At 33.3% G+C, this 26,673-nt stretch overlaps 1 long non-coding RNA gene across 1 annotated transcript in view; it reads left to right on the forward strand.

Moving 5' to 3' along the window:
• LOC105373437 (uncharacterized) overlaps positions 1-20,610 on the forward strand; it is a 45,933-nt gene extending 25,323 nt beyond the window's left edge. The window contains exons 2-4 of the long non-coding RNA XR_922813.1: positions 4,499-4,606; positions 18,285-18,376; positions 20,088-20,610. This is a non-coding gene — a long non-coding RNA (uncharacterized LOC105373437). The remainder of the gene's footprint in view (positions 1-4,498; positions 4,607-18,284; positions 18,377-20,087) is intronic.
• The last annotated feature ends 6,063 nt before the right edge of the window (positions 20,611-26,673 follow it).

Here is a 26,673-nt window from a genome sequence, read left to right on the forward strand (position 1 = left end):
TCATGGGGGAAACTGCCCCCGTAATCCAATCACCTTCCACCAGGTCTCTCCCGGGACATGTGGGGATTACATTTTGAGATGAGATTTGCGAGTGTCACAGAGCAAAACCATATCAGCATCTGACAAAGGTCTAATATTCATAATCTATAAAGAACTTAAATCAACAAGTTAAAAGCAAATAACTCTATTAAAAAAATGGAGAAAGGACATGGACAGGCACTCCTCAATAGAAGACATATAAATGGTCAACAAGCATGAAAAAAACGCTCATCATCGCTAATCATCAGAGAAATGCAAATCAAAACCACAGTGAGGTACCATCTTACACCAGTCAGAATGACTATTATTAAAAAGTCAAAAAACAACAGATGTTGGCAAGGCTTTGGAGTAAAGGGAATGCTTATTTGTAGTTGGTAGGAATGTAAATTAGTTCAGCCACTGTAAAAGGCAGTCTGGAGATTTCTCAAAGAACTTAAAACAAGGCTACCATTTAACCCAGTCATCCTATTTCTTGGTATATACTCAAAGGAACATAGATCATTCTACCAAAAGACACATGCACATAGATGTGCATCACAGCACTATTCACAATAGCAAAGACGTGGATTCAACCTAGGTGCCCATCAACAGTGAATTGGATAAAGAAAATGTGGTACATATACATCATGGAATACCATGCAGCATAAAGTATAATGTCCCGTGCAGCAACATGGCTGGACCTGGAGGCCATAGTCCTAAGCAAATTAATACAGGAACAAAAAGCAAAACACCACATATTCCCATGTATATGTTGGAGCTAAACATTAAGCACACATGGACATAAACATGGGAACAATAGATACTGCACACGACTAGGCAGAAAAGGGAGGAAAGCGGCACAGGTTAAAGAACTACCTACTGAGTACTATGCTCACTACTTGGGACCAATATACCCATGTAACAGTCCTACACATGTGTCTCCTGTATCTAAAATAAAAGGTAATTAAAAAAAAACATAGGCAAATGACTGAAGGAAGTCAGAAGACACATTCTGAAATCCTGTGAGTGAAAGTTGGGGAAAGGAGTGGAGAGAAGCGTGATTGATGGTGGTGATGAGGAGAGGATGATAATCAATAGGTTAATGAAGAGCACACATTCTAAATGAAATCACTCAGGAAATGAAGGAAGAATTCATGCAAATACTCCCTTATGATTGAAAACAAATGAATGATGTTATTACACCAATTTAAGTTGGAAAAAAAGATATACGGTTTAGAAAGCCATGAAATTTGAAAAAATAAAAAGTAAATTTGAGAAGCTTAAGACAAAAATAAAATAACCATTACAGAAATTAAAGTCACATGAGTAGGCTGCCTCAGAGCATATAGTACATTCCATTGGAAAGATTGGTCCTGACATAACGTATAGCATCAAGTTAAAGCAGGGGAATAAAATTATATGATCAAATGTGGTAGTACTTTTCCATTGCTACATAACCCATTGCCACATATGTAGTTGCTTAAAACAACACAACACAAAACAACATGGAAATTACTATTTCTGTGGGTCCAGAGCCCAGCCCTGAGTTATGTAGGTCTTCTGCTAAGGAGCCCATCATTCTGCCATTAAGGCACTGGCTTCCTGTAGTTCTCATCCAGTTGCTGGCAAAGTTCAGTTCATTACAGGTGTAAGACTGAGGTCTCTGTGTTGTTGCAGGCTGTTGGCCACGCCCTATGACAACATGGCTGCTTACTCAAAACCAGCAGAAGCATCTCTCTCCAGTGGGCTAGGAAGAAGTCTTATGTAGCTTTATATACTCATGAGAGTAACTATCCCTCATAGTCACAGATCTGCCCATCCTTGATGTTGGAATTACAAGGGACATACACACCAGGGGGTGAAACTCTTAGATGTCATCTTAGAATTCTGCATACACAAATTACAAAATGGAGAGAAATGACAAGAAAAGCAATGTGTACTATAAATTTGATGTTTCTGAAGAAAATAGCAAAACAAATAAAATATGAATTTTTGGCTTTAAGATGGTAGAGAACTTTTGACTTCTTTCTCCTTCAAAAAACACACAGAACAAGAAGGAGACACAGTTAAGAATTAGCTGAAGTCTCATTCTCTAACTTGTGAGTGAAAAAGCCTCAAACAATTGCAGAAACTAGTAAGAAGCAATCCAACTTTGCAGAACAAATGAATTTAGGAATGAAGACTAGTACTACTGTAGTTGGTGGTGGCTGGGGTGAAAGTTCACAGAAGAAACAGAAAGGACTTCCATTTCCCAATTACATCCCACAGAGTCCAGTACCTATTCTTTCTAGAATGAGGCATAAGACTAGATATTTATTCTCTGGAGAAATATGTCAAGAGAAGGGCCAGGTGTAGGGACACAATTCACAGAACAAGAGAATAAGGTCTACCAAACAGAAGGGTAAAATCTCATTGTACTAACGTTAATTGTAAGTCACTCTCATAACTTCTTCTGTTCAGATCCATACACTGGTAGTAATAAGTATAGAGAAATTCACAAACAGACATGTAACATCACCCAAATACCATCTCCAATAAGTGTTATGGTTCCTCTATCTTAAAAATGAATAAATAGCCAAGATTTGACAATAACCTCAAACATGAAAGGCAGGGATCAAGGTAAAAATAATAATAATAATAATAATAATAATAATAATAATAATAATAATAATTGCAAGTAAATCTATAATAAAAGATACAATACAGGCACAGGAAAAAACTTTTAAAAATGATATGCAGTTATGTTCAGGGAGAGAAAATGTATAACACCTATACATCTCGAAGGTAGAGGAAGCTGTAATAAGTAAAAAATTCAAAAAATAAAATACACAAAAGCTTTTGAAAATTCAGAAATACAATTGCTAAAGGAAAATAAGTCAGTAAGAAGAATTGGAAGTCCAGTATATTTTTGGAATAAATACCCAAAACTGATCAAAATGGAGGCCTCTGGGGTGGAAGACTTTCCACAGAAATGCTCCATGCTGGATGGAAGGCAATGAGGCAGTGACTGCAAAATTCTGACAGAAAGGAAGGTGACCCTGGAATTCTGAAGCCAGTCATGTGTTCTTGCAAGTGTAACGGAAGAAAACACCCAGGAGCTTTACTTCTCACTCTTGACTTGAAAACACGTCAAGCCAGACAGAAATTAAAATAACAGACTCAAGAATGTGAAGATTCAGTAAAATGAATGATGCCGAAAATTACCCTCTATTTAAATATGGAAATTAAATTAGAATGAAACAAAATCTTTGTCAATCTTGGTTAAAGGAGAATAACTTTTTAAAGCATTGGCAATGTAAACTTAACAATGTAACAAAATAAATCAATCCATATGGAGAATAGAGGTACAAATATTATATCCTCTTCTATTAAATATGAATATGAAGTCACTATTTCAAGTTGAATTATAGAAAAAGTGACACAATAACAATACTTTTATCTTTATCTTCTGTTTTTCTTGCTTTTGCTGTTTTTAATTTAGAACTACATTTTAGAATTAAATTTTTTGTGCTGGAATAGTTTATTTTTGCTATAATTTTACTTCTGCTTTATTTTATTTCACTAAATTAAGTATTATAAAAGTAAACATAATGTAGTGTACAGAATCTAATTTGTGGGATTGTATAAATTGATCCTATTTATTTACATGTCTATTCATATGTCTGTCTCCACAGAGAAATATGTAGAATGCTCTTCACTAAATAATAACCATGTTTGTATTTTGGTTTCATTTCTGAGTAGTAGGATTTTGAAAATTTTTTTTAGTGGCCTTTTATTACTCTTCTATAGAAAGCTTGCCCTAATGTTGTAACAACAAACATGAAGGTTTTTTTTTTTTTTTTTTGAGGCAAGTATTGCTCTTGTCCCCCAGGCTGGAGTGCGTTGGTGCTATCTTGGCTCACTGCAACCTGCGCCTCCCGGGTTCAAGTGATTCTCCTGCCTCAGCCTGAGATTACAGGCACGTGCCACCATGCCTAGCTAATTTTTGTATTCTTAGTGGAGATGGGGTTTCACCATGTTGGCCAGGCTGGTCTCGAACTCCTGACCTCAGGTGATCAGCCTGCCTCAGCCTCCCAAAGTGCTGGGATTACAGGCGTGAGCCACCACACCAGGGCAAACGTGAAGTTTTTACTTTTATTTTTTAAAAAGACATGTTGCTTGAACTCCTTTACAATCAGTCTTAGCAATTGCAAGAGCTAGCTGATTCAAGGGTAATGAAACAATCAGATTATTTAAATAGGGTGGTAGCATGATGCCCTGGAATATGATCATTTGCTAATCCTGCCACACTAGTGTTTATCCCAGGTAATCTCTAGAAAGACACTTGTCTATCCTTATGCCCTAAAAATGTTATAAATAGAGAACATATAAAAACTTTGTAGATGTCAAATTTTTAGCGATAATACCATTTTTACAGCCTAACTCATTATATGGTAGGTGTGCTGGCCCACTTAGGTAGCCTCTGCTTCTCTTTTGACAGTAATACACCTGAAGTTGGAAGTCATCAGTCTACAGCACTGCAGAGCTGAGTAGAGGAGACTAATTATTTTACCTCCTCTTGGGCCATGTTGGACTCTTATCTAGGAATGTATGTATTGATAAGCTTTTCCACTTCTACCAATGTATTCTTTTCTTTAGATGACCTTCATCTTTGTTTTGGTATAAAGTCTACTCACACCATGCAAGCAACCACTTTCTGCTGAATACTCCCGCCTTACTCAGTCAACTGCCCCCTCACTCCCAGCTTGTGTTAGATAGTGCCTTCTCTCATTACAACCTGTGTTTAACGGACTACTTCTTATATGAAAATATACATCAGCTGCCTTTTTCATGTCTTTCTCCTCAATTAGATTCTGAAATCCCAGAGAAAAATAGGTCATATTCTCAACTTTCACCTGTGTTTATTGCCCTAGTCTATACATCTGACTGCTTCAATGTGTGCCCAACACACAATCCAAACTAACCTAATAATAGATGTGGAATTCTACTATACAACCAGTGAGTTTAATGAGCTGCAAAGAAAAGGATCATGTTGCTTCTTCCACCCCTTAAATTTCATCCTTTATAGCTGTTTTGGCTATCACTGATTTTCATGGGTTCAAATTCAGATGTTTGCATAGTAAAATGAAAATGTTCCACAAAAGGATTACTTTATTCTTAAGTGGTTGTTTCCATTTTAGTCAGAGATGAGTGAAGAGGCAATGCCCACTAAACTTTCTCTGTTACTGAAGAAGACAACTAGGCTGAGGTGGCAGGATTGTTGGGTCCATAAGTTTGAGGCTGCAGTGAGCCAGTTTACACTACTGCACTCCAGCCTAGGAGACAAAGCAAGACCTTGTCTCAAAAAAAAAAAAAAAAGTATTTTTCTATATCAACATGTATGTTAATATTTGCAAAAGCTTTATTAAACCACATTATTCTTATTTTATGGATAAGAAAACTGATAGAGAGTTTAGATAAATATAAAAAGTAGACAAAATGGCAGATTTAATTTCACCTTCAGTAATTTTTGAAAAGATTATGGAAGTGTCATGGTTACCTGTGTGTTTAATGGCTTAAAATTAGAATCTAGAGAATCAAGTGCAGAACATAATTTATCACATTATTTTAAAGAATGACTTCTCTTAAGTACTGAGATGAAAACTTGTTTCAGGGGATTGCTGAAGTCTAGTTTGCTGATCACTGTTTTCATACTGTTTTTTTTTTTTTTCCCCTGATGGCATGCTCCTGAAGGTTCTTATGCAGATATGTGGTAGTCTCATTTTCAATAAATACCTAGAAAGTGTGGTTGTGGTCACACTAGAACACATATCTTAGGCATTCAGATTCAAGAATTAGGCCTTCTCTGATTACATGGCCTTATAAGATATTAACAAATGATGGATGTTCACTTAGAAACACTCAACTGAGTGAATTATCATATATACGAAGAAAAATGTAAACCAAAAAGCGTTAAACCTGTCTGCTGATCACACACAAATAGGTACATCAGTGAGCAATGCACTTTAGATTTAAAACTATAGAATTTAATAGCTTTTCAAAATGTAAATACACCTATAAGTATCAAGTTTTTGTTTTTGCTATTATTGTTATTGATCTCATATTTTTTACACAATTGCCCTCAGTGGATAATGGAGTTAGTGGCTCATTTCAAACAATACTTTTGGAATCTGTAATTATATCTAAAACCCATCCATTTTTTTGTTATATTCTATAAAATATTCATGATCAATTTACTATAAATCTATCTTAATGTCTTAAAATTATACAGCTGTTGCTTCATGAAGATGATGTTGATTTATACTCTTGCTATAAGCAACTAGCACACTTCTCCTCTGAAGATACATGTACTCATTTATCAAAAAACAAAGAAGCAGTACATATATTAGCATCCAGAAAAATCCAGAATACTGTCATGACCAAATGCTGGAGTGGAGCTCTCATTTGTTGCTGGTGGAAATGCAAAATGTTATAGCCTCTTTAGAAGACAGTTTGGCAGTTTCTTACAAAACTAAACATACTCTTACCATACTAACCAGTAATCACATTCCTTGGTATTTACCCAAAGAAATGAAAAATATTTGTTCACACAAAAGCCTGCACGTGAGTGCTTAAAGCACCTTTATTGCTAATTGCCCGAACTTGGAAAGCAACCAAGATATCCATCCTTCAGAAGGTGAAAGGATAAATAGCCTGCATTACATCCAAATGATAGAATGTTATTCAGCACTAAAAAGAAATGAGCTATCAAGCTACGGAAAAACATGTCAGAATCTTAAGTGCATGTTCCTTAGTGACAGAAGCCGATCTGTAAATTTCCAATGATACAACATTCCGGAAAAGGCAAAATTATGAAAACAGTAAAAAGATCAGTAGTTGCCAGGAGTTGGGGGTGAAGAGGTTGAATACACCAAGCAGAGACAATTTTTAGAGCAGGGAAAATACTCTGCATGGTACCTTAATGGTGGGCACATATCATAAATTTTTCCAACTTATGTAATGTACAGCAACCAGGGTAAACCCTAATGTAAACTATGGAGTTTGGTGATTATGATATGTCAATGTAGGTTCATCATTTGTAATAACTGTCCCACGCTGGTAGGGGATATTGATAATGAAAGGCTCTGCATGTGAGGGGGCAGAGGACTTATGGGAAATCCCTGTTACATCCTTTCAATTTTGCTATGAACCAAAAACTGCTCTACAATAATTAAGTCCTTAAAAATAAACAAACAAGTGAGGGATTCGACCAATGATGGTCATGGCAGAGATAATGCAGATATGCCAATCTTAAAATATCAGAAAGCTGCAGTGCCCACAACCTCTCCTGACTTTAATCAATTAAGTAGATACCCAGGGATTTTCAGTGGAGAGTGGAAGATAAAGCTACAGGAAAAAAAAAGACAAAGACGCAGTGGTTAAATGCTGAACCTTGGCCAAATGCTCTGGTGTGAAAAATAAGACTTTGAAAGACTCTAGAATAAGAGCTAGATATCCCAAGTGACAGAGCATGAGAGAGGTCATAGGAACCACAGACAGAACACAGAAAAACAATCTCACCCAGCACAGAGCTATATCTACAGCCACTATGGGTAACAATCATTGTTTATTTCTTAACATGGAGGAACCGGGAATTGTGATCAGAACTCATTTTGATCACCTAAATCATTCAATTTATGGAAAGAATATGTATGTATTAAACTATGTATCTCTAATTCCAGAGAGCGAATTCAGTTATTCCCCCAAAATCCTTTTGTTGTTTTAATGAAATCCTGAATCAAAGAGCCCCTGCTGCTCTTTAATAGACAGATAACTCAGGTTTATGAAGTCTACCTGTGTGGTACCCACAGTAGGCAAATGAGAAAAGTAGCCCAATTCAGAAAACCATATTAACTGGGGCTTAACTCCGGCTGAGTGTTACATATATCTCATTATTGCAAGATATTTTCCTTTTAGATGACTTTTTCATTTCTTTTGAAAAGAAAGAATGGATCCGTATGTGGTCAATTCACTTTTCAACAATTGTTTCTCTACTGACAGGCTGAAGTGATTTCACATTAAGAGAAAATGAGTTTTGCTGCTCTTCATAAATTGGTAATGAGCTTTTTGAGCAATCATAGCCATAACCTGATTCACAAAAGAACCTTCTCAGATTTGCCATTAACATGTCTGTAACAATAAGCTGAGAAAAAAATACCAAATAAGCTGATGCCACTTGCTGAGAACTATTTTCCTCTCTTCATTTCAGCCCATTAGATTATTTCTCCCTGTGACACTATCAAGCAGCCTGGGTTCAGTTTGACAGTTAAGCATTGAGATATCTCTACCACTACCCTGTCTCACTTTGCAAAAGGAAGAGAACTTCAATGCTGTGCAGCAGGAAGGATGCCAGGAAAACTAGATTTTATTTTCAGCTCTGCTTCTCACCAGCTTGTGTGATATTGGGAGATTTATTCTTCTGCTCTGGATCAGTTTCCAATATTTCAAATATGCATGGAACTGTTTCCAAAGAGCTGAAAGACCTCCAGAGGTCCTCTCATTAAGATACGATGATGCTAATAAAGGCATAACATCTGAAATGCTACCTATTACTTTTGTGGAATGATTTCTCCCTGGATGCCTTCTTGTTGCTTACTTTCATTTCCTTCAGAGAAACCAACAACCCATAGAATGTTGCCTTTACACTACTAGAATGGATTGAGGCCATATCGAGAAAAAAAATTCCCGCAATTCCTCTTTTAGCTCATCTCACTTCTCACATTCTTTATTGGAGGCAATTAAAGGAACCAGTTGGTACATTCACCACTCTGCCTGGAAATTTTCTTTGCCAGATTTGCAAGTTTATTAGCCACATTTGCTATCTTCCACATAAGAAGGTGGCAGCTTTCCTAATTTTTGTGCCAGTATCATTAAGGTCCGTTTGTTTTTAGCTCTTTCTAACAGTTTCCTCAAGGTTTTTAGGTCCATAACTTCCACCTGATCATAAAGCCATTGCTACATATTTTGATATTTTGTTGCTGAAGCACCTCTGTTCTGGTGTCATTCCATCTTTTGTTAGGCTTCTTCCATGGAACAAACTACCTTTAAAATATTGTGGCTTAAAACAGCAATCACTTGTTATTTCTCATGATTCTGAGGGTCAGGATTTTACAGAGGCAGTGGGCTTATCTACGCTCCCTTCAATGCCTGCTGTTACTGGAAAGGCTGCAACAGCTTCTTTAGCCCTTTGGTGCCTCATCAAGGGAGATATGGGCAGTGGAGGTCTGGCTAGAAGAGCTAGATTAGAGGAATGTCTGGATTCTTCAGTTCTCAAGGTTCTCTCTCTCCACATGACCTCTTCATATTTTCTCTTTACACAGTTTCATCTAGAATTCTCATGTAAAACTTTAGGACTTCTAAGAGTTCATAAGTGGAAGTTTTATACTTTTTTAAAGCTTAGGCTAGGATTGCACAGCAATATTTTTGCTATATTCTATTCTAAAGTGTTTGAGTTATAAGCTAAGCTTGGATTCAAGAGGAAGTAACTACAAAAGGGCATAAACACTGAAGCATAACCCATGGGGTCCTATTAGTGTTAACTAACTACCACAATGACAGAGGAAAAAGTAAAACAGGAAAAGAATTATTTTTTAAAAAATTAGGAAAATTGACAAATACCCTGGAAGTTGAATTTATGTACTTTTTAATGTATTTATTTATTTTTATTTATTTTTTTTTGAGATGGAGTCTCACTCTGTCACCCAGGCTGGGGTGCAGTGGCACAATCTTGGCTCACTGCAACCTCTACCTCCAGGTTCAAGCAATTGTCCTGAGTAGCTGGGATTACAGGCATGTGCCACCACTCCCGGAATCCCAGCTTCTTGGGAGGCTGAGGCAGGAGAATTGCTTGAACCTGGGAGGTGGAGGTTCCAGTGAGCTGAGATCATACCACTGTACTCTAGCTACAGCTTGGGCGACAGAGTGAGTGAGATTCTGTCAAAAAAAAAAAAACAAAAAAAAAAAAAACAAAAACACAAACATATGTATAAATGAAATCATAAGATTCATGGGATTTAATTCAAAATAATATGGGTAATGCAGTTTCAAAATGGGTGAGAGTATAGTTAAAATAACAAGATTGATCATGACTTGATAATTGTTATAGTAGATTTCTGGGTATATACAAAATTACCACTTTTTTGTTTGAAATTTTTTTAAAGAAAAAGTAAAATCAAATAACAAAGAAATATATTCTAATATCACTAATGAAAACTGGATAATTACTATAGATCTTTCTTACAAATTAAAGATATAACAAGATTAAAAATATTTCAGGCCAATATATTTGATACTTTATATGACATATGCATATATCACAAAAGAAAAACTTGTTGAAACAGACTCAAGAAGAAATAGAAAGCCTAAGTAGTCCTATATCTATGTAAAACAATGAATTCATTAATACCCTCAACACAATTTGAGGTACACAGGATGTGCCCTATGAATTATTTCTAATTTTTAGAAAATAAATAGCACTGGTATTACAAAAAGTATTTTAGAGAACATAAAAAGCGTGAGAACACTTCACAAGTCCTGTTATAAAGCTATGATATTCTTTATAGTAAACTTTGGCAACAACATTAGTAGAAAAAAATCACAGAATAATGTATTATCAACACTGATGAAATCATTTTACAACTGACCCTTGAACAATGTCAAGGTTAGGGATGCTGACCCATCCATGCAATTGAAAATTTGTGCATAACTTTTGACTCCCCTAAAACTTAACTACTAATAGCATACTGTTGACTAGAAGCCTTACTGATAATATGAAGAGTTGATTAACACATATTTTGTACGTTATATGTATTATATACTGTATTCTTACAATAAATCAAGCTACAGAAAAGAAAATTTTATTAAAAAAATCATAAGGAACATAAAATATATTTATTATTCATTAAGTGGAAGTGGAGTCATTTAAAAGGCCTTTATCCTCATTGTCTTCATGTTGACTAGGCTGAAGAAAAGGCAGAGGAGGGTTTGGTTTTGCTGTCTCAGGTGTGGCAGTGGCAGAAGAAAATCTGTATATAAGTGGACCTATGCAGCTCAAACCTATGTTGTTAAAGGCTCGACTGTATTCATATATTTGTGAAAACTGATAATATATCACAAAGCCAATTAAGGTTTATTACAGGAATGTGAGAGCAGCTTAATATTCTTCAATCAATCAATAGAATTTATTACATATTAACAAAAAAGAAAATGACACCTTATTATTGATATATTTAGGAATAATATTTGATAAAATTAACCACCTGTCAACAATAAATTTTCATGATAATGTGTAAGTAGATGGAAATTTATACAATATGACAAAGAATATTAACCAAAAACATACTGTAAATTTTATAGTTATGAGTGAATTATTGAATGTATTTCCTTTGACGTGAGAAATGCCATAAGTGTCCCCAAACTTACAAATTCTATTAATGATATTACAAGTTAGTTCTACATAGTGTAGTAATAGAAGAAAAAGAAAGACCACAAGATTAAAAAGGAGGAAATACCTCTCATTATTCAGAGATCATACAATTACATATATAGAAAATCCAAAAGCATCCATTGGCAAACTATAGGAATCAATAAATAAATTTAGCATGTTGGTTGTATAAAAGTCAATATATAGATTAATTTTTCTTATATACAATAAAAGCAATTAGAAAATAAAAGTTTAAAATATAATAAAATTAAGAATATCAAATAACTGAGAATAATTATAATAAAATATATTTAAATTGACACCAAATGCTGCAAAACTGTTCTGTAAGAAATAGCAGAATATATTTTTGTGTATATACATACATGACATACATATATACAACAAACCTGTACACGTACAGATATACAATGTGATTTTATGAAAATACATAGTATAAAAATCACAATTCTTTCTAAATATTTAGATCAAATGTAATATCAATCAAAACTAGGTATAATTTTCTGTTGTTTTGTTGAGGTTGGCAAATTCTTTCCAATATTAGTTTAGAAATATGAAGGATCTTACATAGTCAAACTATGTTCAAGAAGAAAAAGAAAGCTAAATAACTCATTCCAATTTATATCAAGATTTATTGCAATGCTCTAGTAATTAGCACAGTGTAAAATTGGTAAAAGTATAGGCAAGCTGATCACAAAAATGTAAAAGTGTATTTAAAAGCAGTTGCACATACATACAGTTTCCTGATATATAAAAGTGAAACACTAGAGTGCAATAGGAGAAAAATGGCCTTTTCAATAATTGCTGCTGGGCCACTTGTATGTTTATTGATATTTTCAAAAAAGAGTCTATTAATAGATTCCTATATTATACTATATACAAAATAAATATAAATTGAATGGAAATATAAATGTACAAATTAACACTACTAGAAGACAGTACAGAAAAATATCTTTATGAATTTGGGCTAGCAAAAAAATTTAACACAGAAAAGGATTAATCACAATGAAAAGAGATTAAAAATTCTACTGTAATACAACTAAGAATTTCAAAAGTCACCATTAAGAGAATAAGAAATAAAGCCACAAAAGACTCTTATCCAATATATATAAACAAATTAGCATTTCACATTTGGAAAGTGAGACAAATGCTAGAACATGCACTTTATAAAATAGGACATCCAAATGTCCAATAAACATGAAAGGGTACTGATCTTCACAGTAAAGATAATTGTACATTTAAATACAAATTATAACCAAAGTATAAAACCCTTACATAACAGAAAAATAGAAACACAGAAAACACTACATCTTTATGAGAATGTGGAATAATTGAAACACTCATAATTACTGCTGGCTTCAACAAATGGTGCTACAATAACTGAATTTCCACATGCAGAAAAAAAAAGTTAAGCTATATTAAAAAATGAACTCAAAATGGGTCAAGGACTTCAATATAAGAGACAAAATCATAAAATTCTTAAAGGAAATCATGCAGATAAATATTCTTCACCTTAGATTTGTCAAGGAAATCTTAGATATGACACCAAAAGTACAAGAAACAAAAGAAAAAAAATTAACAAATTATTTAACGAAATTAGAATCTTTTGTGCAACAAAGGACACTATCAAGAAAGTGAAAAGACTACCTACAAGATGGGAGAAAATATTTGAAAATCATATATCTGATAAACATTCAATATCCAGAATATATAAAGAATTACAATTCAACAACAAAGGAACAATCCAATAAAATTTTTGTAATTGGCTTAAGTTTACATTTCTTCAAATAATATTTATAAATGCCCAATAAGCATATGAAAAGATGCTCAACATCATTAATCATTAGGGAAATGGAAATCAAAATCACAATGAGATATTACTTCATGCATACTAATATGGTTATAATAAAAATATTTAATTAAGAAACAGAAACTAACAAATGTCCAGAATGTGCAGAAATTAGAATACTCATAAATTGCTGATGGAAGTGTAAATAGTGCAGTTGCTGTGAAAAGTAGCTTGATGGTGTCTCAAAAAGCTAAATACCTCTACACAATTACCATAGAACTTGATAATTCCACTTTCAGATATATATCCAGGGACTCAAACAGATACTTTTATACCAATGTTCATTGCAGCATTATTTACAATAGCCAAAAGATTGAAATAACCCAAATGTCCATCAACAGAAGAATGTATAAAGAAAATGTGGTATATGAATACAATGGAATATTATTCAGTCCAAGAAAGAAATGATGTTCTGATACATGCTACAGCATGAATGAACCTTGAAAATACTGTGCTAAGTGATGTAAGTTGCCTGGGAAAATATTATGTGATACCACTTGTATGAATTATCCAGACAAGGCAAATTCATTGAAAAAGAATGTACAAGAGATTACCAGGGGAAAGGCAGAAATGGAAAGATATTGCTTAATGGGTACAGTGTTTCTGTTTAGGTGAGGAAATTTTTGGAAAAAGATAGTAGTAATGGTCGCACAACATTGTGTTATAATTAATGCCAACAAATTGTACACATAAAAATAGTTGAATATAACAAATTTTACATTAAGTATATTTTACCACAATTAAAAAAAATTAAATCTGCCGAGAGTTTCACTGAAAAAAAAAACCACATTGGAACACTTTGTGATAGTATCTATTGAACGTATTTATACCCTGTGTCTCATATTTGCAATCATACCAAACATAAATGTGTACATACCTTCAACAAAGGACATTTTCTAGAATTATCACTTATGCTCTGTATACAATAAAATGAGCTTATGAATTGTGGTATATTTGTATTCTATGGAAGTGAAAACAAACAAAATACAACTATGCACATAAATTTGTATAAAATTCACAAAGATTTTTGTGAAATAAGCCAGAGGCAAAAAACATGCATATCTTATAATTCCAGTAATATAATATCAAGGACAAGCAAAATCTGTGATTTCAGGTAAGAATGTGGTTGTCATTGGAGTTAATTGCCTAAAAGGATCATGGGTCAGGGGCAGATTGTGATTTACTGTGATTCTATGTTCTGATGTTTGAGAATTTTTCCAAATTCTTGTTATGCTTCAATAAAAAAAGTTACAAAGATAAAGAACTAAAAACTAAAAGTACATTGTAAGTGACCAAAACTATTTGTCTCATTCTTTTAAATGTTACACTAGAGAGGCAAATGTGATTACATTGGTAAGTAGCAGCTATATAAATTACTGACAGATTCCTTGGTAATATTATAGTCAACTAATTGCAAACCTAATATAAAGTTTATTTTTTAAAATGCTGACAAGAGAGAAATGTGATTATGGAGTAACTAGTAAATAGCTGGAGCTTATGGGGAGGCTGAAAGGCATGAATGTCTTTGGCTAATAACCCATTCATGGGCACCAGGTATGTGATGAAGCTGCTACCTCCTCAGCTACAAAATAATGCACATTTCACAAAACCCTCTCTTGGAGTTTAATCCCCAAGTCATGGACAGTATAGTATCCTATTCACTGGATAATCATTTACAAAAGATTTTTCTATCTAATAATATCCAGAAGTGCTCTGGGTCTTTAGGAAGGCCCCATCACAATGTCAAAATTTTAATTCTTCCCATAATAATAAAACTCATTAATATTAGGGCAGTAAGAATGCCAACTAGAAATTGTACATCTTTCTGAGCACAGCGGCTCATGCCTGTAATCCCAGCACTTTGCGGGGCCAAGGTGAGCAGATTACTTGAATTCAAGAGTTCAAGACCAGCCCGTACAACATAGCAAGACCCCATCTCTACTAAAAGTACAAAAATTTGCTGGGCATGGTACATGTGCCTGTAGCTGCAGCTACTTGGCAGGCTGAGGATCGCTTGAGCCTGACAGGTTGAGGCTGCTGTGAGCCGTGATTGTGCCACTGCACTCAGCCTGGGTGACAGAGTAAGATCCTGTCTAAAAAAAAAAAAAAAAAAAAAAAAAAAATCTTGTTATCATGATGCTAGCTGGTTATTTTGCAGATTTGTTTATGTGGTTTCTTCATAGAGTCACTGGTCTGTGTATTTCAGTGTGTTTTTGTAGTGACTGGTAACAGTTTTTCCTGTCCGTATTTAGTGCTTCCTTCAGGAGCTCTGATAAGGCAGGTCTGGTGGTAATAAATTCCTTCAGCATTTGCTTGTCTGAAAAGGATCTTACTTCTCCTTTGCTTATGAAGCTTAGTTTGGCCATATGTGAAATTCTAGGTTGAAAATTCTCTCTTTAAGAATGTTGAATATTGCCCCCTCTATCTCTTCTAGTTTATAGGGTTCCCCCGAGAGGTCCTCTGTAGTCTGATGGGTTTCCCTTTGTAAATGACCTGGCTTTTCTCTCTGGCTCCCATTTTTTCTTTCATGTCGACCTTGGAGACTCTGATGATTATATATTTTGGGGATGATCTTCTCATGGAGCATCTTACTGGGGTTTGTTGCATTTTCTGAAGTTGAATGTTGGCTTGTCTTGCTAGGTGGGGAAGATCTCCTTGATGGTATCCTGAAGTATATTTTCCAAATCACTTCCATTCTCCCCATCTCTTTCGAGTATCCCAGTTAGTTGTAGATTACATCTCTTTACATAATCCCATATTTTCCAAACGTTTTGTTCATTCTGTTTTATTCTTATCTATCTCTCTATTCTTGTCTGCCTGTCTTATTTCAGACAGAGAGTCTTCAACCTCTAATGTTCTTGGTCTAGTCTGCTATTAATACTGTGATTGCACTGTGAAGTTCTTGTAGTGTGTCTTTCAGCTCTATCAGGTTGGTCATGTTCCTCTGTATTGCACCTATTTTGGCTTTCAGCTCCTGCATTGTTTTATCATGACTCTTAGCTTTTGTGCATTGGGTTACAATAGATACCTGTAGCTCAGCAAAGTTTGTTTTTATCCACATTCTGAAGCCTGCTTCTGTCATTTCAGCCATCTCAGCCTCAGTCCAGTTCTGAGCCCTTGCTGGAAAGGTGTTGTGGTCATTTGGAGGAAAGGGGCCACTCTGGCTTTAAAGTTCAACATCGCTAATCATTAGAGAAATGCATATCAAAACCATAATAAAATACCATCTCATACCAGTCACAATGGCAATTATTGAAAAGTCAAGAAACAACATATGCTGCCATGGTCTGAAGAAAAAGGAATGCTTTTACACTGTTGATGGGAATGTAAATTAGTTCAACCATTGTGGAAGACAATATAGTGATTCTTCAAAGACCGAGAAGCAGAAATACCGTTCAATCAAGCAATCTCATTACTGGGTATATACCCAAAAGTATATGTTATTCTTACATTCTTATTCAAATGCCCATCAATAATAGACTGGATAAAGAAAATATGGTACATATACACCACGGAATACTATGCAGCAATGAAAAAGAATGAGATTGTGTCCTTTGCAGAAACATAGATGGAGCTGGAGGCCATTATCCTTAGCAAACTAATTCAGGAACAGAAAACAAAATAAGTGTTCTCACTTATAAGTGGGAGCTGAATGATGAGAACACATGGACACATGACAAGAAAAAACACAAACTAGGGCTTGTCAGAGGATGGGGCTGGGAGGAGGAGGAGCATCAGGAGGAATAGCTAATTCATGCTGGGCTTAATACCTGGTTGATGGGATGATCTGTGCAGCAAACCACCGTGGCACAGATTTACCTGTGTAATAAACGTGCACATCCTGCACATGTATCCCTGAACTTAAAATAAACATTGGAAAGAAAAAAGAAAAAAAAAAGAGAAATTATACATCTTTATAATTAAGATAGTAAATTATCGTTAATCAAGGCACCTTAATACAAAATACTGAATTATAAATACAAATATGCTTACAAAAAAATTTTATAATAATATAGAAAATGTCTACTTATTTACAGTATTCACTGTAAATAAAGCTGGAGTTTCTTTCAGATTCAGTACTTAAGCTCCTTGATAACTACTTCATCTGCACCTGCAATTTACTGTAACTAACTTGCCTTGTGATATAAAATATGTTCGCTCTTATTTTATCATATATACATATTTTTTGAGTTGGAGTCTCGCTTTGCTGCCCAGGCTGGAGTGCAGTGGTGCGATCTCGGCTCACTGCAACCTCTGCTTCCTGGGTTCAAGTGATTTTCCTGCCTCAGCCTCCCAAGTAGCTGGGATTACAGGTGCATACAACAACACCCGGCTAATTTTTGTGTTTTTTTAAATAGAGATGGGGTTTCACCATTTTGGCCAGGTTAGTCTCAAACTCCGAACCTCAAGTGGTCCACCAGCCTTGGCCTCCCAAAGTGCTTGGAATACAGGCGTGAGCCATTGCACCTGGCCTATTTTACTATAATTGTCCTGCCATTTTAGGAACAACTTTACATTCTGACTTGTCCATGATTTGTGTGTTTTTCTCTCTAATATATTTCAGCTCAATTAAACAAGGGAAAGTACCCTCTAAGCTAAATATCAGCAGGGCTGTCATTAGAGGTGACTGGAAGAGCAAACAAATTAAGACTCAAGAGTTTTTGGACAATAGAGAATAAATGTCCCTTGAGCAAGTAATTCCTTAATACTTAACAAAATTTTGTTTACCCTAGAAGACACATCAAAAAAATGACAAGTTGATGACTGAACTGTGTTTCTTGGTCTATGAAAATGAGTGTTCTAGCTGAGTGGTGAAAGAATTTGTGGCAATATAAAAAGAGGAGGAAGGAAATTCCAGGGTTGTGAAAACAATTGTCAGGGAAAGTAGAGCGATATCAATCCCTGAAAATAGTAGTGAATATGAATTTCTTATTTCAGTCTGTTGAAAAGTGAATGGGAATTGAATAAGATGAAGATAATGTATGTATGATTCCTTCGATAATCAGCTTCTGATGAAAATGGAAGAGAAGGTATTTAGCATATTAAGTGGTATTTATATTGAGAGACAATAAAGGAAGTAAGGAAAACACTAAATATTTTAGCAGACACATTGGAAAGCACTGTAAAAGGATAAATTGATGGAATAGTCTAAACAATTGTAAATAATAAGAGTCAGCTAACTAATTGTTATTTTCAAATAGGAGGTCATTTATAGTTATTTACTACTCAAAAGGGTCTGGACTTTGAAACAAGACTGTTAAGGGCATCTTTTGTACACCTACTGTTGTCTCTCTTTGTACCTTTTATTGTTTCATGGAGACACATTTATGAACAACTTATTGCACTAAATTTTCCATATCTCAGGCTTATTACTGGTAGTGTTGTTATATTATTTCTTGTACCTTAAAAGAATGTAGATTCATGATTCTGTCTTTCTGAGACATTAGATTTTTAACTGAAAAATGATCCATCATTGTCTTCAGTGCTATATGAAAAAAAAATGTATTGACAAGAGCTATTTGCGTGAGAACATCCTAGGCACTACAGGTGCTTGAAAGTGAAAGTCAATGAGATCACTCTAAATTAATTTAAATGTTTTCTCATCTCCTTCACACACTGCAAAATATCTATATAAATATAATTGCTAACCCTTATTTATATGGAAGTTTGAAAACGTAGAGCAGCATCAGAAAGATGTAGAATAGATGGAACAGGTTTGGTTATCACCTCTGCAGTATATGAGCTCTTTAACAGAGGGAAATGTAACCAGTCTGGTTGAGCCTATTTTTTCACATGTAAAATGGGTTTATTAATTTCTTCTTGCAAGTATTTTTGTGAAGTAGAGATTACATACATGTAATATACACAGTATGCGTGTGTATTTGTGTATATGCATATGTAATGCTTAGCCTGGCAAAAATTGGTGTTCGATAAAGCAGTTCTCATGATTTTTGTTAATCTGAGAAAAGGTAAAAAACAGTATTTCAAATCATAAAAGGTTCAATGAATTACCCCATCTTTAAGGTAAAATTTGGCAGATGTCTCAATTTGTATTTCAACTTATATGAAATAATATACTTTGAATTCCTAACATAAATTATTTTGAAATGCAAATCACAACTGTTAGCTGACTCCAAATCTAATTTTAAATTTATTTTGCTAAGGTAATTGGAGTGCAGATCAATTGTTTTCTTCTAAAGATAACCAAAATATATTTTTCTCAGAAAGTCACAAATCATTCATTTTACCCTTGAATAATTTTTTCAGTTGTAATGATGCTGCCTTATTAATAAGATATGATTATTTGATACAGTATCAATTTACTATTAAAGCATTGGGAAATTTGACTTAAGTTAATTTATAGTTTAGTAGCTGTTTGAATGTTGGCTTCCCAGACACTGTCTTCCTAATCATTGACTTATTTTACATACTCATCGAGTGCTAGACTAATTTTTTCACACTATAATGTAAGTAGAAAAAGAAACACTTTAATATTTGTGGCCACTTATGTCCTACCCATATTTTTATGCCTCAAAAATATCCATACTTCTTTATTTTCATATTGGGATACAATTATCTCCATGATATGTCAGTTTCTTAAGTAATGGTAGGGATATTTTAATATACTTTTAAACTATTTATTAAATGATAAATATTGTATTATTTCTTTAGAAAAATATAAAAAGTAATTCTGACTTGAAAACACTCACTTAGATCAAGAACACTTTCATCTCTCTACAGGCAATGGCAGAACTGCTATTCCTTACATGCATAAGCTAAACCATAAAGGAGATACAATCAATACAAATATGAAAGCAAGATTTGTATGATCAAGTGGAATTAAGATGGCAGCTAAAGATGGTAAAGTTATGTTTCACATAGCATCTTCCTCCAAGAACTCATAACTTGAACAACTAATCTTTGATGGAGAGTGAGAACCAAAAAAGCACACCAGAAGCAATCAACAAAAAAGGCAATCACCTGCATAGGCAGAAATATCCAAGTGTTCCCAAGATTTAGATTTTGCAAACACATGTGGCACTTAGCTAAACCCTGAAGAGGAGTGCTAAAAAGAGGCAAAGGGAGAAAAGAGTGAGTGAGGGCAAGTGGAAGTGATGAAAGTGCTCACAAGTAAAAGACAAGCTCCAACTTAGAAAGAAAATTAAGAGTGGATACCAACGAGTAATGATATCACACTCTGTGGTGTAGAGAAAAACTTTCCTTTCTAGTGAAATTCCCCTCAATAAAAATCTATATAACATCAGATACAGAAATCATTACTGGGGTTAGCTATTTTTGTGAAAATTTGGATTTAGTTTTTGGTTTGCAGTAAGATGACATTTAGCCAAGCAAATACTAAAGAGATAACTTAAAAAGAGAAATATCTATTAGAAAGCAAGCTTCAGATAATTAAAAAAAAAAACAGGAGGACACCAACATAAAAATTTAGTCATGAGTAGTAAATTAATGTTGTTTATTTCTGGTAAACTGAAATAAAATGAACATCATAATGGAAAAGGTATAGTATGTAAATTGTGTATGTCTCATAATGAAGATAGAGTTGAACTACAAAACTATGGGTATAAAAGATTTTTACTTCACATTAAATCTTGGAGGAAAAGGAGAAAAGGAGGAAAAAGAGTTGACTGGTAAAGTTCATTATAGTTAATAGTAGGGAACCAATATACTGTATCCAAATTTGGGGGACAGAGATGAGAACATTACATACAAAAGTAAGTATAAGAATTTGACCATTTGAATGAAAGTATAAAACTTAAATAATAAAAAGTGATAGAAAAAAATAAAATAGAAATGAAACGACCACAAGAGAACTGAAGCCAAACGTATTGATAATATTTAAAAAGTTAGAGAGGCTTTCTCACCCTATGCAGAACACTAGAGACAAACCTAAAACAATGAAATCCAGAAACGCTAAACATAAAAACGTGACAATGATGAACTATGGAAAAGTAGGAGGAGAGTGAAGAATAAAATATTAGCGTCTAGCAAGCTTACTTTCAGAATAAAATCATAATAGATTCTAGTTCACTTTATAATATTAAAAGCTTTAATACTCAAAGAAAACATACCAGATATTAATGTCTATAGCCTCAAAAATGCAGCAAAAGTCTTCATGAGGAAGAAAATACAGAGCTGCAAGAAAAAATAAAAATAAGTTTGTAAGAGAAAATAAAACTAAAAAATGCTTTAGAGAGAAACACACTAAAATGAAGAATTGAAAACACATATTCTCATTCCAGGACAAATAACAAAAATTAGTAAAGATATAGAAGATGAAAAGAGCATGATTAAGAAGGTAATAAACCACACAAAGTCTTTTCAAATAAAAATAGAATATTCACAAAATTTGCTGTAGTTGACTACAAGGAAAAACTTGACACATTACAAGAAAATGAGTAACACAAATGTATCTAATCACAAATCACATATAAGTAGAAATTAATGACAAAATTTAAAAAATACTTTGCATTTAATAATATTAAAATATTTTAAATACTCTGATCAAACAGGAAATATAAAAGAAACATATACAATCTCAAAAAATACAATAAAACCTATTGTCTAGATTTATTGTATATCGGAGGAATTTTTTATCATTAAAATCCATATCAACTTCAGCTGATAAACAACTTCAGCAATGTTGCTGGCTATAAAATCAACGTACAAAAAGCACTAGCATTCGTACACACCAACAACAACTAAACTGACAGCTAAATCAGAAAGGAAATCCCATTCACAATTGCCACACACACACACACACACGCTACCCAGGAATACAGCTAACCAGGAAGGTGAAAGATCTCTGCAATGAAAATTACAAAACACTGCTCAAAGAAGTCAGAGAAGACACAAACAAATGGAAAAACATCCCATGCTCATTAATAGGAAAAATCAATGTCATTAAAATGGCTATACTGCCCAAAGTGATTTACAGATTCAATACTATTCCTATCAAACCACCAATAATACTCTTCACAGAGCTAGAAAAAATATTTTAAAATTTATATGGAACCAAAAAAGAGCCCAAATACCCATGGCATTGGTTTAGGCAGTGATTTATTTGATATGACCACAAAGGCACAGGCAACAAAAATAGACAAATGGGATTACATCAAACTAAACAGCTTCAGCACAGCAAAGGAAAAAAATCAGTAGAATGAAGAGATGACCCACAGATTGGGGAAAAAATTACATATAACTCATCTCATGAGTAGTTAATATCTAAAATATATAAGAGACTCAAATTACTCAATAACAAGAAAGCAAATAACCCTATTTAAAAATAAGCAAAGTACATGAATAGACATTTCTCAAGAAAAGACATACAAATGGCAAATAGATATATAAAAAATGCTTAAGTACAAAAATTATCAGGGAAATACAATTTATAAAAACAATAATGAGATATCACCTTACACCTGTTAGAATGCCTATTACCAAAAAGATGAAAGATGGCAAGTGTTGGCAAGGATGTGAAGCAAAGGGAACCCTTGCACTCTGTTGATGAGAATGTAAGTCAGTATAGCCATTTTGGAAAACATTATGAAGATTTCTCAAACAAATAGAAATGAATTACCATATGATCCAGCAATCCCACTTCTGGGTATATATCCCAACAAAATGAAATCAGTATGCTGAAGAGATATGTGCACTCCCATGTCCATTGCCGTGTTATTCACAATAGCCAAGATACAGAAACAACCTAAGTGTTTAATATGGATGAATGGGTATATATATATGTATATACACAATGGAACATTATTCAGTCCGAAAAGGAAAGGAAATTCTGTCATTTGCATCAACATAAATGACTCTAGAGGACATTACACTAAGTAAAGTAAGACAGGCACAGAAAGACAAATACCACATGATCTCACTTGTATCTGGAATATAAAAAAGTTGAACTCATAGAAGTTGAGAGTAGAATGATGGCTACCAGGGGTCGGGGGAGTGGGGTGAAAAACAGAGGGGAGACATTGGTCAATGGGTACAAAGTTTTAGTTAGACTGGAGGAATAAGTACTGCTGATCGATTGCACAGCGTGGTGACTGTAGTTAATAATAATGTATATTTGAAAAATGTGAAGGGAATAGATTTTAAGTTTTCTCACCACAAATGAGTATGTGAGGTGATAGATATGTTAATTAGCTTGATTTGATCATTCCACAATGTACACATGTATATAGACGTCACAGTGTACATGATGTACAGAATAATTTTTATTGTCAATTAAATATAAAATTCTAAAAAATGAAATAAATCATATAACCATCTTAATAAAATCTGAAAAAGCTTTAAACAGACAATTCCTGTAAAAAGCCCTTAAATACTTCCTTGACACAGTAGATGTAGACGTAGTTGTAGATTAGATAGAGATGTAGCCCTCCAGCAAACAAGAATTCTGATTTAGTTGTAACACACCAGCAGCTTCTTCATTACTTTTTCTGTTATTTTCTTTTGTCTGGAACTAGACAAGGAAAGCCACCATCTCTTTGACAATTCAACGCCATTGTAGAGAAGTTAGCCAGTGTGATTAGGCACCAGAAATGGAGTATAAAAATTGGAAAGGAAGAAGTAGTGTCACCTTTGATGTAAATGGTATAAATGTACACATAAATGTGCCAATAAAACTCAACAAAATTGGCAGATTTATGAGAAAAATAAGGGGATCTAGTAAATTCGCTAGAGATATAAATAATATTCAAAAGATCAGTATCTTTTTATGCACATTCAAAAAATAAATATGTAAGGAAAGAAAGTGACCCACTTAAGATAGAATAGAGATAAATAAAAGAACCATATATAAGTTTAACAAGAAATAGCTTTAACACCCCAAAATCTTAAAAATATTCCTGAAAAAAGGTGGTTTTGAATGTCAACACATATCAAGAAAAACTCAACATATTAAATGTAATTTTTCCTAAATTAATTTAAAATTGTTAGAATTTCAATTAAAATACCATGCATTTTTATGGAAAAAAATAGAACAGTTTATAGACAAATTGATTACAGAATACATTTGGAAGTACAAATAAGTGCTTTCTATATTCAGTTGAAATTGGAGTGTGTTAATTCTAAGAAGACGATAAAAGTTTAGTTCGTAAATTTTAATCCCTAGAACAACAAATTAGTGTAAAAAGACTAGTGTAAATAAATGAATAAATAATCTTGAAACTAGATAAATTATAGTGAAACGCTTTGTACACATGTTTAAATAACCCAAACAGAAAGTAGAAAGAGGAAGGGAAAAAAGATAAATAAAAAGCAGAGGGAACTAATAGAAGGTAAATAAGAAAAAGTAGACAAATCCAAATATATCATTAATTACATTAAATGTAAGTGGTCTTAAAACACTAATAAAAGAGACTAGATTTGGATAACGGGTTAAAAGGTAATAACCCAACACCATCTAAAATAAACCCCCTAAGAACAACGATATAGATAAGCTACAATTAGAAACATGGAAAAACGTTATACCATGCAAAAACAAATCAATAGTAATCTGGAGACAAAACAGATGTTAGAACAAATAAAACTAACAAAACAAAAAGAGATAGTATATAAAGATAAAATGATCAATTCACCTAAAAGACACAACAATCTCAAATGGGGATATGTCTAACAAAGGGTTTTATAAATGGAAAAATCTGACAGAAGAGAAAGAAAAAACATACAAATTCACAATAGAGAACTTCAACATTTATCTGTAAATGATAAATGGATAGAAAACCAACAAGAATTTAGAACAACATTATCAACCAACTGGATCTAATGGATATTTATAGAACATTCTACCCAAACACATGAATGTCATTTTTTCAAGTATATGTGGAACATTCACCAAAACAGACATATCCTAAAGGAAACTTTAACAAATTTGAGTGATTCAAATCAATGTAATATATTATTTATGTAGATAGTGTAATTAAACTAGAAATTAATAGAGAGGGGAAATATCCAAATTCTTAGGTATTAAATAACGCATTTCTAAATAATCTCATAAATCCAAAATAAAACTACAAATACATAGAAAGATACTCAATATTGTACAGTTGTTCTCGCCATTATTATAAGGCAAATCTATTAATGAAACAATCAATCCATCCATCGGAACAAACATTAATGTCATTCTACTAAGAAAGTAAGATGTAAAACTGTTTTTATTCCCTGATGACATCATTCTGTAGAATATCCTAACAAATCTGCATTTAAAACTACTAGAACTAATAAAGAAGTTTAGCAAGGTTGCAAGATGTTAAGATCAATAAATTGCATTTTTATGTACTAACAACAAATAATTTAAATATGAAATTATGAAAATAATTTGTTTTATAATAACAAAAATATAGAATACTTAGGAATACATTTAATAAAATAACTTCAAGACATATTCAATTAAAACTACAAAGTATTGGTGAGATAATTGATCCAAATAAATGAAGGCCATTCCATTTTCATTGATTAGAAGACTCAATATTATAAAGATGGCAATTCATCCCAAAATTGATCTATAGATTCAATTCAATGTCTGTCAGAAGCCAAGCAGAATTTTTTTGTTGTTAAAATTCTTAAACTCACCTAAAATTTACCTGAAGATGTAAAGGCCTTTAAATAGCCAGAAAAACTCGGGAAAAAAAAGTAATGCTAGAGGACTTATACTACTTGATTTTAAAACTCACTATAAAGTTACAGTAATCAATAGGGTATGGTATTGGTATAACTATAAGTATCTGGATCAATAGAACAGAATGGAATATCAATCCAGAAATAAACTTTTCCATTTATGATAAATTAATTTTCAAAAAAAGTTAAGATATTTGCTGTGGAAAGGATAATGTTCTCAAAAAAATTGTGCAAGGACATTGGATATCAGTTTTAGTTGAGGTACATTTTTTATTGTCAACCCAAAACTTCAAAATGGTGTTTTATTAATATAAAAGTTATAAGAATAGGCATACCTGACTCCCAAACTAGAAATGTGGCTGATCAACCTCACAGGCATGAAATATAGATGGCTGTGTGAGCACTTGTACTTCATCAGTGACAACAGTGTTAGTTCCCTGTGCTTTTACTCTTAGAAACATCTGTTAGATTTTGGCCAATGATACAAACTGACAGAGGAAAATTATGCATAGTACTGTAGGTGGACTCCTGACAAGATCTGGATTAGCAATATGCTGCAATCATTTTTTTAAGTATACATGTAAATACATATATCCCTCATGCACAAGCACACAAAGATATACATGCAATATTTTGAATCAGATAGCTATGGGTATTGACTCAATTTATATCATTTATTAAC

The sequence above is a fragment of the Homo sapiens genome, chromosome 2 (assembly GCF_000001405.40).
Source record: "Homo sapiens chromosome 2, GRCh38.p14 Primary Assembly".
NCBI lineage: Eukaryota > Metazoa > Chordata > Mammalia > Primates > Hominidae > Homo > Homo sapiens.